Here is a 15,483-nt window from a genome sequence, read left to right as displayed (position 1 = left end):
CCCTGTCTGACACGAGACGGGGGAGATGAAGACTGAAACAAAAGTAAGACAACCATAGTCACCCACTGCAGCCTGCTGGGGAAAGGGTGGTTTATCTCCAGGTTACTTGTCCTGTTATAAAATAAAATCCCACTGGGGGGGGATTTGGAGACCCCTGAGGCCCTGGTCTGGAAGGAGAAATGGACTGACATGGAGAGTTAAACTCCTGTGCCCAAGAGGTTAATGGCAACATAGGAACCTCTGGAGCAGAGAAGAGAGCAGCAGGGTTTGTGTGCAGTGGAGACTGTCCCATCAGCAGTCTGCTGGTGGACTGGGACCAGAGACACTGTGTTGGCCTTCCTTGCATGGAAGAGTAAATGCTGGTCTCCTGAGAGTGGAGAAAGCCGTTCCGTGTGCCTCTGGGGAGGGTTGCCTCATCAAACACAGATGTCCCTGCCTTGTGAAGCCTCCACTTAAGATTTTTAGACTTTAGGTGGTGCGAAAACGACATGGCATTCCATAGAAAACATTCTTTGAGTACTCATACAAACATTCTATTTTTCACTTTCAGCTTAGTATTCAATAAGTTACATGAGATACCAACACTTTATTATCATATAGCCTTTGTGTTAGGTGACTGCCCATGGTAGGCTAATGTAAGTGTTCTGAGAACGTTTAAGGTTGGCCAGGCTAAGCTAGGAAGGCCGGTAAGGTAGGTATATTGAATGCACTTTCCACTTATGATATTTTCAACTTATGATGGGTTTATCAGGAAGTGACACCATTGTAAGTCAAGCAGTGCATATTGGAATTTTGCGTGGAACACACCTATACAAAGACATTATGCCTTATCTATCTGGAATTCACATATCTGCCACCCTACCTGTAAGGTCCCCCAGGACATGTCAAAGACAGCCTGTGGGTGGGTACAGCCCATTCTCCTCCTCCCACTCCAGCATCCGTGGAGACCACCAGGATGGTGTGGGAACCAATTCCATTAGACTCTCCAGATACCCAGAGCTTCAACACATTTAGTATTAATAGGGGGAGAACACAAGAGGGAGAGAAAACAAACCCTGTCCAGTACCAGGCATCTCACTAAGTGAGACACCCAGCATCTCAAGAAGTCCTCCCTCGGAAGACCCCTAAGCAGAAGTGGGGAAACGAAACCTCTGCGGTAGGAGGGGATTAAGTTATTTGTCAAAGCTCACATCATTAGTAAGCAACACAGGTGAGGAAGGGGCTCAGGGTGTCTCACCTCAATTGTTTTACTCCATGACCAACCTCACTTGTCTACCACATTTCTTCTTGAGTTGCCAGCACAATGTTCCCACTCTCCAAGTGGCCCAGGTTGAAGGCTAGCTGAGGTCCTAGCTCTTGCTGTCCCCTGTCCATCATCCATTGCTGACCAGCATCCCAGGCATAGACATAGTGGAGAGAGTCTCTGTCTTCAGCAGTGGGAGAAGCAGTACATGTTGAAAGGGTGCTTTAATGGGAATATACAGAATTACTGGATGAGAACAGGACAAGCAAGTAACAGTGTTGTAGGAAGGCATGATGGAAAGATTTTCTGAAGATCTGATGTTTATGCTGAGCCTCAAAATTGACTAGGAGTTACTTGGGCCAACACCTGAGGGAAGGGGCATGGGAAGCCTGAGATATAAGGAGCAGCAGGTGCAAAGGATTGATAGGGGTAGGGGAGCCATGGTATATTCCAAGAGCAAGGCCAAGGTGGCTGAGACAAGGAGGGAGGACCTAGTGGCCAGGGATGAATTAGAGCCTCAGGGTTGAGGTTCCTGATGCTGGATTTTATTCTTAGTAGAATAGAGCCCGGAAAGCTTATAGTTGCCCTCTAGCGCCGAGGCAGGCTGCCTGGGTTGGCTGCATTTTCAGAGCTTCTGTATTAGTCTGTTTCACGCTGCTGATAAAGACGTACCTGAGACTGGGTAATTTATAAAGAAAAAGAGATCTGATGGACTCACAGCTCCACATGACTGGGGAGGCCTCACAATCATGGCGGAAGGTGAGGGGAGAACAAAATCACATCTTACATGGTGGCAGGCAAAGAGAGAAATGAGAACCAAGCAAAAGGGGAAACCCCTTATAAAACCATCAGATCTTGTGAGATGTATTCACTACCACGAGAACAGTGTGGTGGAAACTGTCCCCATGATACAGTTATCTCCCACCAGGTCCCTCCCACAACATGTGGGAATTATGGGAGCTACAATTCAAGATGAGATTTGGGTGACGACACAGCCAAACCATATCAGCTTCCCAACTTTCCATGTCTTCCTCCAGGGCCACCTGACAGGGTCTCCCAGCTATGACCTCCCACGTACCTTGGAGCTCCTGGCTGAGGGTCCTGGGCTGGCCTCTGACAGAGTCCCTGGAGCCCATCCCTATAACCTGTCCTGCCCCAGTGAGAAGGCTTCTGCCCCATGCTGGGTCACTGTCTCCTGCAGGTTCTGAGACGTATTCCTACCTTGTGCCTAGGCCTAATGTCTGATTAACCCACCCTCCTTCTGGAAAGCATCTCTAAGACTCACAGAATATCTGTCAATTTTGCATTTTTCAGAACAGAGAAGAGGAGAAAAGTAAAGAGAATTCCCCAGCTGGTTCAACATGATTCCTGGCAGAGCAGTCTTTCTAAGGAGGACAGATAGGACCATGGGCCACATAGTTACTTTTGGAAAGAGCTGTCATTGCCTGGAAGCTGGTGGCAGGATGGACTCAAAATCCCAGCAATACCATTTGCTTGTTGGATGATTTCCCAGAAATTATTTATTTTCTCTGTGGCTCATTCTCCCCACCTGTAAGACAAGGTCAACTACAATGCCTACTGCACAGGGCTGTTTTGAGGACTGAGGGCAATAAGCCAAGTGTAGCCTTTAGCACAGTCCTGGCCTGTGGTCTGCACCCATTAGACATTAACCTGGTATGAACTGGGAGCTGGCTCTACCCTAAGCCTCACATGAGGGTGAAAGACAGTAGAACAGGGGCTCCAACACTTCTATATTGTCCTGGTCATCAAATGGAGTGGAATGTACATCCTTCAGGAGAAGGCTGCAGTGGAGAACAGGATAGTGGGAGGTTGGGTCTTAGAGGAAGGGGAGATGAGAACTGCCATGCAGGGGCAAGAAAGCAGGACATTGGAGAAAAGAGATGTTGGATGTGTGAAACCTTAGCCCCTCAATTAAAAAACAAGAATCACAGAAGTGTGAAGGAAAGTGAAGAGGCTGAGTTCTGGATCCTGGCTATTCAGTCCATGATATTGCAAGCAGAGATGAAAAGCTCACCTTCCTCACCAGGGGGTGTGTGTGGGCATGAACTGACTACTCTCTTACCTAAACACCAGCCAGACCCTGCCTCCAAAGTGCACTTTCTTCCTTGAGGAACACTATTGTTCAGCTATGTGTGGAGGAAGTGAAGACAGTCAGAACAATTGACCATGGCTTGTGTCCTGTTGCATTTTTCCAGAGGCAGAAAGTCGGGGCTGCACCAAAGATGCAAATATTTATTGTAACATATTCTGTGCCAGCACTTTGCCCTAAAGCATCTAGGGATAAAAAGACCATAGAAGACACAGGCACTCCCTCATGTTGCTCGCAGTGTAATGGGGGAGACACATTACTAAACTCATCAGAAGAAAGACTGTCTCAGAAATCATAAGGAATTTGAGGCGGGCAGGGTGGTTGCCCATTTGCCTGTGGCCAAGATGTGGACCCGCCTGCAGGAAGCTGATGCAATTAATCCCAAGAAGAAAAGGTAAAACTAGTGTGACGTGAGCAATACACCTGAACCAAAAGCACAGAGTTGGGAGGCTGGAGATGGAGTGCAGGCTTCCATTTGTCCCTCTTGTTCAGGGCTCAGCAGCTCAAAGTGCACATCAGACCTGGCTGGAGAGGAGGTGGGAAGGTGCAGACAGGGGTCAAGCAGGCTTTGCACCCTGAGATGGGCACAGCCCCTACCAAAGAGTGAAGCCAAATGCCACATTGGCATTCTTTAGAGAGACCTGGACCACAGTTGTAACAATGTATGAATCTTTAAAAAATGATACAGACATCTATCATCTGGCAAATATGAGGACTTGGAAAGGGTGAAGGGCCCAAGCACTTCGACGAGGAAAGGTACAGAGATGGTGGGAAGGCCAGGGGCAGGCATGGCCACCAGTGCCCAAGGTGAGCAAGAAGGTGATGCCAGGTGCTGACAGTGGCCCCATGTGTGTTAACCCCCTGTTATAGGCTAATTGTGGCTCCCAAAGTTCATCTGTTGAAGTCTAATTCTCAATGCTTCAGAATGTGACCTTATTTGAGGATAGGGCTTTTACAGAGGTAATTATAAAGTTAAATAAGGCCATATGGATGGGCCCTAATCCAATCTGACTGGTGTCTTATAAGAAGAGGAGATGAGGACACAGACACACACAGAAGGATGACCATGTGAAGACACAGGGAGAAGACGCCATCTGCAAGCCAAGAGAGAGGTCACAGGAGAAATCAATCCTGCCGACACCTTGATCTTGGACTTCTAGCCTCGAGGACTGTGAGGCAATGAACATCTGCTGCTTGAGCGCCCCCATCTGTCATGCTTGTTATGGCAGCCTAAGCTGAGGACCACAGGCTCCTTCCAAACAGCCAAGGGCCAGGGTTCCCATGACACCACACTAGATTCATAAAAGCACATGTTTAAGATTTTATTTTAGCTCAGAATATCAGCTCTTTATCTGATTAATAAAAGAAATAGCTGTTTAATCGTATGTTACATAAACTCTCCATTATTGATTAAATAAAAGTAAATAAATATATAAAACTCCCAGAACATATTGTCCAGATGAAGGAAATAATAAAACTCTCCTTGGGGGTAAAAGAAGAAATAGAAGCTGGAAATAATTCACTTATTTGGGGACATTACCCTAAACAGATTAAGCTCTTTTAAAGATTAGAATCTCTTCTCCAAAACAATTTAATTTATGCTGTTGGTTCTACTCATCACACTTAACTCTCATAAGGAGATAGCCCAGTCCTCAGGTTTGCTCATTCCTTTTCCTTTTCCCTATAGTGATGTCCAGAAGCAGATACAAATGGAATGTATTACTGTATTGGGTTTTGCTATGCTAGGGAATTTTTTCCATCTCCCAGTTTCATCTGCTCTGTGCCATCTTCTGAAAATTCCCCTTTGAAAAACTGTATAGTCCCAGCATTGCATGGCTTTTGCTTGGCTTCAGAATAAGCTTATTTGACTTCTGCTTCTGTGGAGATGGAATAGATAGATGTACACTTCCCTATTCCTCTCAATAAGTGCAACTAAAAACCTTGCATATTATGTTAAAAAAAAAACCTAACAAGAATATGAAAAGTGAAGAGAAGAAGGCAGGCCAGCTATGGACCTTGGGACAGGAAGATCAACATGGTGACATTCCTAGGTCTTCTTTTTGCCTCATATAACTCTGAGTTGGAGTGGAAGAAGGCATCGATAAAAACAATACCTTAGCGGAAGCCTGCCATCTCTAGCCGAAGGACAAGGAAAGACACAACCTAGCCAAAAAGAACATTTTGGAAAATAAATGCTCAACTCTTAGCCAAATTCTACCAAAAAGCTGTAGCTAAAACCCCACCCATGCCAGCAAAAAATAAGTAAGAAGTGTAGACTTCCAGCCCCTCTGGGAAGAAAAGAGGCACCCCAAAATTCCCTACCTCGCCCTTTTCCCGCTAGAGTGGTGTAATAAAAAGACAACTAACACAGAAAGCTTAAATAAGATTCAACTTCTCATTCCACAAAGCCCACATTTCCAGTTTTCAATAAAAAATCACTCATCATACCAAGCACCAGGAAGATTTCAAACTAAATCAAAAGGACAAAAAAAAAGATTCCAACGTCAAGATGACAGAAATGTTAGAATTCTCTGACACATATTTAAAGGCAGTCATCATAAAAATGCTTCAATGAGTGATTATGAACAAGCTTAAAAACCATGAAATAATAGAAAGTCCCAGCAAAGAACTAAGAGATGTAAAAAAGAATCAAATAGAAATCTTAGAACTGAAAAACACAGTAACCATAAAAAAATAAATAAATGGAAGAACTCAACAGCAGATGGAGGGAGCACAAGAAAGAATCAGTGAAGTAGAAGAAAGAATGGTGGAAATGACCCAATCTGAGAAACAAAGAAAGAAGACTTAAAAAAAAAATGAACAGTTTCAGGGACACATGATAACCCTACAGATTTGAGAGGCTGATTAAATCCCAAACAAAATAAACTCAAATAAATCTACACCAAGACACATCATAGTCCAACATCTGAAAACTGAAGATAAGGAATATATCTTTAAAGCAATGACAGAGAAATGAAACCTATCCACAGGTGAAAGTATAGCGGCTTCTAAAAAATTCTTATGATGATGGACTTTTCATTAGAAACCATGGAAGCCAGAAGGAAGTAGCACTGTGTTTTTCAAGTGCTGAAAGAAAAGAATTGTAAACCCAGAATCCTATGTTTTCTATGTAAATTATATAAATGAATAGATTCTATACATGATTGAAGAGAAAGTCAAGACATCCTTAGAAGAAGGAAACTAAGCTAATTTGTTGCAATCAGACATACCCCAAAAGAATGACTAAGGGAAGTTCTCCATACAGGAAGGAAACAATAAAAGAACTTTGGAACATCAGGAAAGAAGGAAGAAAACAATGAGCAAAAATATGGCTAAATAAAATAGGCTGCCTTCTTCTTCTTACGTTTTCTAAATTATGTTTGACAATTCAAGCAGAACTTATAACCCTGTTTGATATGGTTCTAAGTAAATATAGAGGAAATATTTAAGACAATCATAAGAAAGTGATGAGAAGAGTTTGTAAGATTTCTAAACTTCATTTGAACTGATAAAAAGGCAACACCAGTAGACTCCGATAAGTTATATGTGTATAACGTAAATCTAGAGCAATTACTAAAAGAGGTATATCAAGAGATAAACTAAAAAGCACAATAATTAAGTGAAAACAAAATATTTTAAAAAATGTTTGAGTGATCTGCAGAAAGGCAGGGAAAAACAAGAGAAAGGAACTGAAAGGATAAACAGAAAAAATAAAATAATAGACTTAAATCCCTAACCTAATGATTACTTTAATTATCAATAGTCTAAATATGTCAATTAAAAGGCAAAGAATGATGAGATGGATTAATGGCATTACCAATTTATGCTATATAGATGAAGTTGTGTGCACTTTAAATAGATAATATAGACATACTGAAAATAAAAGAATAGAATAGCTTATATTATGCAAATATTAAAGAAATCAGTAGTGGTTACATTAATATAATATAAAGCAGACTTCTGAGAAAAAAACATTATTAGACATAGAGAGGGTCATTATATAATTAAAGAAATCAGCCAGGCATGATGGCTCACCCCTGTAATCCCAGCACTTTGGGAGGCCGAGGTGGGCAGATCACTTGAGGCCAGGAGTTCGAGACCTGCCTGGCCAACATGGTAAAACCCCATCTCTACTAAAAATACAAAAATTAGCAGGGCATAGTGGCAGAAGCCTGTAATTCTAGCTACCCAGGAGGTTGAGACAGGAGAATCCCTTGAACCTAGGAGGCAGAGGTTGCAGAGAGCTAAGATCTCACCATTGCACTCCAGCTTGGGCAACAAGAGCAAAACTCCATCTTTAAAAAAATGATAAAAAATTAATCTACCATAAAATATAGCAATCTGAAATTTATGTGCACCCAACAACAGTATGGTAATATATGTGAAGCAAACCCTAACTGAATCAAAAAGAGAAGTCCACCATTACAATTAGCAATTTCAACACCCTTCTCTCAACAATTGAGAGAACTAAACAGAAAATCAGTGTGAACACAGAAGACCTCAATAGCACCATCATCTCAGTTCAATTTGTGCTTTTAAAATAAAATTCCACAGATTGGAGATTTTATTTAAGAAATTATTTTGTCACAGTTCTGCAGCCTGGAAAGTCCAAGATCAAGGCATCAACATTTTGCAAGGGCCTACTTGCTGAATCATCACATGGTAGAAGGGCAGAGACAAAAGAAGGTTGGACTTGCCCTTTTATAGTGGCATTAATCCTGCCCATGCAGGTGGAGCCCTCATGGCCCTATCACCTCCCCAAAGCCTCAATTTCCAACACCACCACAATGGCAACCAAATTTAAACATAAGGTTTGGAGGGGATAAACATTCAAACCATAGAAACCATCAATCAACAAGTGCTAATCCATATTTATAGAATACTCCATCCAACAACAATAGAATACAAATTCTTTTCAAGTGCTCACATGATGTATATCAAGACAGATATCCTGGGCCATAAAACAAACCTTAGAAAATTTAAAAGATTTAAAATCAGGTAAGGTATGTTCTCTTAAAAGAATTAAAATCAGATAAAGTATGATTCCCACAATGGAATCAAATAAGAAATGAATAACAGAACAATAAGGGAAAATCTTGATATACTTACAAACTAAATAACACACTTCTTAATAATCTATGGGTCAAAGAGGAAGTCTCAAGGGAAATGAGATGCACAGAGTTGAATGAAAATGAAAATACAACATAACAAACTTTATTAAACATCACAAAAGCAGTGGTGAGAGGGAAAATTGTAGCACTACATGAATAGATAAGAAAAAATGAAAAGTCTCAAATCACTAATCTAAGCTTTCACTCCAAGATCCTAGACAAACAAGAGAAAAATAAACCCAAAGAATGCAGAAGGAAGAAAATAATAAAGATAAAAGCAGAAATCTGTCAAATAAAAAGCAGGAAAGCAATAGAGATAATGAATGAAACAAAGAACTGGATCATTGAAAAGATCAATAAAATTGACAAACTTATAGCAAGACTGACAAAAAAAAGATAATAAAATTTATAAATAAAAATAATGAAGCCAAGGATATCACTACAGACCCTACAGATGTCCAAAGCATAAGAGGATACTGTGAATAGCTACACACATAAATTTGACAACTTTGATGAAATGGACCAATTCTTTGAAAAACACAAACCACTGGAGTTCACAGAATATGAAATAGAGAATTTGAACACTCTTTAGGAAATTGAATTAGTAATGTTAAAACTCCCTCATAAAAGAAACCTTTGAGTCCAGATGGTTTTACTGAAGAATTCTGCCAAATATTTCAAGAATTAACACCGATTATACATAGTCTCTTCCCCAAAATAGAAAGAATGGAAACACTTCCCAATGAATTTTATGAATCCAGCATTATACTGATACAAAACTAGACCAAAAGTATACCAAAAGGAAAACTACAGATTAATATTTGCCATAATTATAGATGCAAAAAATTTTAACAAAATAACAAATAGAATTTAGCAATACATCAAAATAATCGTACATCACAACCAAGTGGATTTTGTTCCTGAAATTCAAAGCGAGTTCAATATTCAAAAATCAATTACAGATACTTTTCAGCTTACCATGAAGTTATGGCCCAATAAACCCACTCATTAGTTGAAAATATCGTTAAGTCAACAATGCAGTTAATATGCCCAACCTACCAAACCTCATAGCTTAGCCTCGCCTACCTGAATTGTGCTCAGAATATTTCCATTAGCCTACAGTTGGGAAAAATCATCAAACACAAAGCTTATTTTATAGTAAAGTATAAAATGTCTCACATAATTTACTGAATACCATACTGAAAATGAAAAACAGAATGGTTAGATGGTTTTGTACTATTGTAGAGTCAAAACATTGAAAAATTTTAAGTCATACTATTGCAAGTCAGGAACTGTCTGTGTGTAACTGACCACATTTACAAGCTAAAGAAGAAAAATCACCTGATGACATCAACTGATGTAGAAAAAAGCATTTGGCAAAATGCAACACTGATTCATTTAAAAAAAGAGAGAGGGAGAAACAAAAAAGAAAACTTTTAGAAAATAGTAATAATAGTAATAAGGGAGAAACAATAAAGAAAACTTTTAGAAAATAGTAATAATAGTAATAAGGGAGAAACTTCCTCAACTTCACAAAAAGCATTGGTAAAACCACAGCTCACTTTATACTGCATGGTGTGAATGCTTCCCCCTAAGATTTGGAGCCTGGCAGGGATGTCTGTTCTCATCATTCTTAGTGAATACAGTGCCAGAAGTTTTAACCAGTTCATTAAGGCAAAAAAAAAAAAAAAGAAAAAGTAAATAAAAAACAGAATGCAATGAAAGAAATAAAACTGTCCCTACTTGTAGTTGGCTTGATTGTCTACTCACAAAATCCTAGAGAATCTACAAAAGCACACCTAGAAGTCTGGGCGTGGTGGCTCACACCTGTAATCCCAGCACTTTGGGAGGCTGAGGTGGGCAGATCACGAGGTCAGCAGATTGAGACCATCCTGGCTAACACGGTGAAACCCTGTCTCTACTAAAAATACAAAAAATTAGCCAGGCATGGTGGTGCACGCCTGTAATCCCAGCTACTCAGGAGGCTGAGGCAGGAGAATCGCTTGAGCTGAGATGGCGTCATTGCACTCCAGCCTGGGCAACAGAGTGAGACTCTGTCTCAAAAAAAAAAAAAAAAAAAAAAAAAAAGAAAGAAAGAAAGAAAAAAGCACACCTAGAACTAACAAGTGGACTCAGCAATATTTCAGGTTAAAAGAGAAACATACAAAACTCAGCTGTTTTTCTGTACTCTAGAAGAGAACATGTAGTCACAGAAATTAAAATATAATACCATTTACAATAGCTAAAAGAAATGAAATACTAAGGTATAAATCTAACAAAGTATAAACAGAATTTGTACCACAGAAGGCTGATAAAAGAACTCAAAGATCTATAAAAGTAAATAGAAATACCATCATAGATTTAAATAATAGATTTAATCATGGATTCAAAGACATAAGAGAGTGAGGATGTCAATTCTTCTCAAATTGATCTATAGGTTTAAACAATTTCTTTCATAATCTCAGTAAGACTTTTGTAGATTTGGACATTATTCTAAAATGTGTGGAAAGGCAAAAAAAAAAAAAACCAAACAGCTAGTATAGCTAAAAGAACTTTGAAAAAGAATAACTTAGAAGTAATTAGTCATCAAGACCAGTATGGAAATCTGGGTTTGGCCACCCACGGGCCCCATGTGCTGCAGCAGATGGCTCGATCTCACAATCTCAGTTTCCCCAGATTTAAAACTGGAGGTAGGACAGTAACCTCTCTATCGTGCTCCTGTGGGGGTGAAGTGAAGTGATGCACGCAGAGCCCCTGTAGCGTGCATGGCCCACAGGGAGCATTCCACAGCTGCTGCTTCTTCATAAAGCATCATGTGCAGGCAGCCACTGCCCCTGGCTGTGCCCACCAGGTTACAGAACATGAGAGCACGGGCACCTCACTCGGGCACACCACCCTAAGTATGGTGGGCTGTGGACATCCCTTCTCCACTTGTCTCCCTCACACATTTCTCCAGAAGTGCTCTGGGCCAACATCAGAAACCAGGATTCCAGCTCCTGTTGGAGATGAAGACCTGCATCTGATTGCTGCTGCCTGCAGAAAGGACAGGGCTGCCTCAGTAGGACCATGCTGACATGAGCCTTGATCTGCCCCTGCTCCCTGCCTCCTTCCACCTATCAAAGAGGTGATGTCACATTCATGAAGACGATTCTTGTCAGAAAAGAGGGAAGCCAAGTCCCAAGGCACTTTCCAACTTGCTCTATCTCCCTGTGACCCTGTTTCCAATGATTTGGGGCTAGTGCATTTCTTCTTATAATTGTAGTAGAAAGCGTCTAGAAGGACCCCAGTACATTTGGTATTCACACCCTTTGTGATACCTTCTTCTTGAGTGAGGGTGGGACCCAGTGACTTGCTTCTAACAGAGACCATATGGCAAAAGTGATGGGATGTCACATCTATGATGAGGTTACAGAAAGACTGCATTCTGGCTTGCTCATCCTCTCTTGTCTTATGCTCATAACTGCAGAAAGTCAGCTGCCACAGTGTGAGCTGCACTCACAGTACAGACACACCTTGCCAAGGGACACACAGCTCCAGCCGACAGACCATGAAGATCTGAGACCCTCCATCCAACATCTGCAAAGAATGGCATCCTGCTCCTACCCAGGTGAGTGAGCTTGGCAGCAGATCTGACCTGTTCCTCAAATCTCAAGATGGACGCAGACCCACAAACATGCAGACTGCTACTCTGAGACCCTGACCCAAACCACCCAGTGAAGCCACACCTGGATTCCTGACACTCGGAAACTGAGATACTATAAACGTTTGTTGTTTCAAACCACTAAGATTTGTTATGTGGCAATACATCACTAATATCATTGTGTTAGGTCTTAAATCATCCTAAAAAGCTTCTTAGGTGAATCCTTTATTTCCACTGAAATACTCCCATTATCACAAATAAAGGGACGATGAGAAATTGACATGAAATTCCTAATGCCTATACAGTAATCTTAAGTGTCCAACACTAAACCTGTATTATATACCAAATACTGTATGCATTTCATACACGGCCCATGAGACACCCTATTGCTTCCTTAATCTACTTTTCTACTTCTGATTTATTTTTTAAATGGAGCTAGGCTTTAAAAAAAATATATTGAGTGGCCCCTTCTACAAATTGCCAGCTATCCATAAATTGTTCCAGTGCTGATAAATGGATGCATGCGTGCCCCTAGGAAGCTGCAGCCTGTGGTGAGTCACTCTGTTGCCTTCCTCTGAAGCGTCCAGGACAACTGTTCTGGCCTGAGATGAATTGATCATCATCCAGGCACACAGGGCAGAGGGAGGCCCTTGTCTCCACTGGCCCGGCACACCGGGAACAGTTACGGTTTTTCTTTCATTGTATTCCCCTGACTTTGGAGCTCCAATTTACCTTTTCATGAGTTTTTCATTCCATTGTTTGCTGTCATTTCTGTCACTTCCTCCTAGTTGTTGTAGCACAAATGGAAATGCACCAGTCACCTGCTCTCACTTCATGTCCCCCGCCTCCTGGAGTGCACAGCTAACAGACTTTAAATGACTAATTTTCTGTTTACAATCGCAAAGGAGGACAGGAAGAGAGCACTTAGTCACCTCCTTGTAAACCAGTTTCAAAATATTGTTTCCATAGACATTTTATTTCTTTTCTTTTAAATTGTGATGAAGTACACATAACATAAAATTTACCTTCTTAACCATTTTCAAGTGTACAGTTTAGCAGCATTAGGTACATTCACATTTGTACAACCAACATCGTTAACCGTTTCCAGAACTTTTTTTTATCATCCCAAACAAAAGCTCAGCACTCATTAAACACTCACACCCCATTCCTCCTCCCCCCAGGCCCTGGAAACCGTCATTCCACTTTCTGTCTCCATGACTTGAACTTCTCCGGGGTCCTCCCATGAGTGGAATCAGACAGCATTTGTCCTTTTGTGCCTGGTTTGTTTCACTTGGCATAATGTCCATGACACTTATTTACGTTGCAGCTTGTGACGTGATTTCCTCCATTTTTAAGGCTGAATATTCTCTTCCTCCTTCTCTTCCTTGTCTTCCTTCTTTTTTCCATCATACAGGTCCAAGACACTTAGCTGGGAACCAAGGGGCACAGAGATGAACACACAGCATCTGTGTCATGTGCTCTGGGTCAGAAGGAGATCACCCCTACACACACACACACACACACACACACACACACACACACACACAAGTTGTGGTTATAGACTTATAGTTGCATGGTTGCTGGGTTGAGCTCTATGGAAGAGGAATGGGCCAGCTGGGGGCACGAAGAGACTGATCAGTAACCAGAAGATGTGTGCAAGTATGGCCTAGGACCTTCACAGGAAATGAGGCCAAGACTGATGGATTTGGAATCAATGTGGGAGAGGTGGAAAAGGATAATATGGCATCCACACGATGAAGCATTGCATCCCAAGTGGCTGAAACATCAAGAAGGTGGGTAGAGAAAGGGAGGAAGACACGCCTAATGAGACAGGGAGAATTGAGCACATCAAGAAGGACTCTAAGTGTCTTGCAAAAATATCTCACTTAGACAGCAATAAAGTCATTAAAAACATTTTCTACTTTATTGCAAACCTACATGAAAGTAAAAATGAAAGTCCTTAAGGCAAAGAGGCAACTACAATAGTATAGCCCAATTAAGTGTTAAAAAGCCATCCTAACATGACTACACAACAAGCCATCAGTATCATGACACTATAACAGAGCAGGTAGTGGTGCCCTGGACTGGATCCTGGAACTAAAACAGGACATAATTTAAAAAAAACTGATGAAATCCAATAAAATCCACAGTTTAGTTAGTAGTAATGTAACAATGTCAATGTCTTAGTTTTCACAAAAGCACAGTGATAGCATCTGATATTAATGATGGGGGAAATTCAGTAAAGGGTATATGAGAAGTCTCTGTAATATCTTTGTAACTTATCTATTAAATCTAAAATTATTCCAAAATAAAATTTATTTTAAAATATTGAAGCCCTAAAAGTCCACAATGATATCCTTTAATCAAATCAATGTTTTTCCTCTTCCTGTGCTTGCCTGTAAATACGGTGCATATTCATTTTTATGTATGTGAAGAAAGATACTGAATAGATATTATAATTGGCTGTTTTACTTAACATTTATTAATATTTTATGTATTGCTTCCTTCTTCCCTCATCCTTCTAACACAACCATGGAACCAGTATTGAGGGCCTGGCGTGTATGTTACACAACTTCTGCACGGCCAGGCCCTCAGATACAAACATACACACACATACCCGTGGATCACAAATGTCTCCCCTTCTTCATCGTGTTATTTATTTATTTTCATGTTTATGTTTTTCTGAGACAGAGTTTCATTCTTGTCACCCAGGCTAGAGTGCAGAGGCATGATCTCGGCTCACAGTAAGCTCCGCCTCCTGGGTTCAAGCAATTCTCCTGCCTCAGCCTCCTAAGTAGCTGGGATTACAGGTACCTGCTACCACGCCCAGCTAATTTTTGTATTTTTAGTAGAGATGGGATTTCACCATATTGGCCAGGTTGGTCTCGAACTGCTGACCTCAAGTGATCTGCCCGCCTCAGCCTCCCAAAGTGCTGGGATTACAGACATGAGCCACCGCGCCCAGCTCATTGTTATATTTATATATCTGTCCAACTTATTTCTTTACTTCATGGCATGGGCATCCCTATAATTCGATGAATGTGGATCTAACTCAACATGCTTAATATCTGAACGATACTCTATATTAGGTGTGTAGTCAACTTATTTAAGCATTTTCCTGTTGGTGGACTTGCAATTTTGTGCTGGAATATGTCTCATTGTACCTATGATATGCGCAAATGACTTCATTTCTGCAGACTAGATGAGCAGAAATGGAACAGATGGATGTGTGTGCATGTGTGTGTGCATATGTGTGTGTGTGTGGATGGGAAAATATAATAAACAACATATAAAATGCTCTCTCCTTTACCTCCTCACCAACGTGGATAATATTAATATGATGGTTTTTCCAATATGATAAACCAAGATAGATGTAATT

Source organism: Homo sapiens, chromosome 9 (genome assembly GCF_000001405.40).
Source record: "Homo sapiens chromosome 9, GRCh38.p14 Primary Assembly".
NCBI lineage: Eukaryota > Metazoa > Chordata > Mammalia > Primates > Hominidae > Homo > Homo sapiens.
Note: the sequence above shows the minus strand (reverse complement) of the source record.